General features: G+C 37.4%; 1 annotated feature.

Moving 5' to 3' along the window:
• Positions 445-646: a silencer, noted in NCBI's record as "fragment chr4:101170456-101170657 (GRCh37/hg19 assembly coordinates)". NCBI's record gives its function as "represses an EF-1alpha promoter that drives an FKBP-Casp9 reporter gene in an ReSE screen in K562 erythroleukemia cells {active_cell/tissue: K562}" and the evidence as "EXISTENCE:reporter gene assay evidence [ECO:0000049][PMID:32094911]".

Genomic DNA, 1,582 nt, shown 5'->3' on the forward strand with positions numbered 1-1,582 from the left:
AATTAAAATAACATAAGGTTTTTGTTTCCTAAAACCCAGTTGAGCTATCTAGATAATTACTAGGGGACAATTAATTAAATAAAAGAAGAGCTATAAGGACTTTCTTCCTAAAGCAAAGCTTCAAACAGAATGACATACAGAGTGACACTTATTACTTTCATGATATATATCACATGAAATGGTAGGACCAGCCTTTTTCAGCAAATGGTGTTGGACAGCTTAAGATAGCCTGTATTAATCAGGGTTCTCTAGAGGGAGAGAACTAATAGGATAGATGTATATATAAAGGGGAGTTTATTAAAAATATTAACTCACGTGATCACAAGGTCCCACAATAGGCTGTCTGAAAGCTGAGGAGAAAGGAAGCCAGTCCGAGTCCCAAAGCTCAAGAACCTGGGGTCCAATGTTCGAGGGCAGGAAGCATCCAGCATGGGAGATAGAGGTGGGCTGGGAGGCTAAGCCAGTCTAGTCTTTTCATGTTCTTCTGCCTGCTTTTTATTCTGACTGTGCTGGCAGCTAATTAGATTGTGCCCACCCAGATAAAGAGTGGGTCAATGGATTGCCTTTCGCCGTCCACTGACTCAAATGTTAACCTCTTTTGGCAACACCCTCACAGACACACCCAAGAACAATACTTTGTATCCTTCAATCCAATCAAATTGACACTCAGTATTAACCATCACATGGCCTCAAAGATAGACTCAGACATCATCACATAGATTCAAAGATAGACTCAGACAGGACTTCAGACAGCACACAATCATGGAACAAATGGTTTCAATCAAACCCAAAGATTAGTTATGTATTGTTTTCTTTCTTTTATAGAACTAATGTTTCAGAAGAATGATGACATATTTTCAAAGCAAGTAAAGAGGGGTTCTTTGACTTTTTAGTCACATACATTATGTAGTATGTTTAACTTAAATGTGTGTGTGTCTATACATTTTCTTGGTTTTGATGCCTGTAATAGCTAAGAGTCTTATAACCATCAGAAACAAGAAAATGTATATATCTGTTTTCAAAATAATATGTTTATAGGAGATTGCTAACAATATTTTCATAAAAGATTAATATAAAAATATTAATAATGTAGTTTGTCTGAAAGACATAGTTGGTTTTCCACCTTTTGTCTCCAGAAATGAGTTCTTTGCAAGCTGTACAAGTTGTGGGAGTGTTCTAGCTTCAGATAATCACACTGTTTGAAAGTTCATCAAAGTTGGTAACAAAATTATATTCATCATCTAATTTTCAATTCCTTAGGACTGTGTGTTTTAGTCCATTTTTACACTTCTATAAAGAACTTCCCTGAGACTGGGTAATTTATAAATGAAAGAGGTTTAATTGATGCACAGTTTCATATGACTGGGGAGGCCTCAGAAAACTTACAGTCATGACAGAAGGGGAAGCAGGCATCTTCTTCACAAGGCGGCAGGAGAGAGAAGTGAAGAAAGAACTTCCAAAGACTTATAAAAACCATCAGATCTCATGAGAACTCACTCACTATCACGAAAACAGAATGGGGGAATCCACCCTCATGATCCAAACACCTCCCTCCCTCGACACATGGGGATTACAATCTGAG

Source organism: Homo sapiens, chromosome 4 (assembly GCF_000001405.40).
Source record: "Homo sapiens chromosome 4, GRCh38.p14 Primary Assembly".
Lineage (NCBI taxonomy): Eukaryota > Metazoa > Chordata > Mammalia > Primates > Hominidae > Homo > Homo sapiens.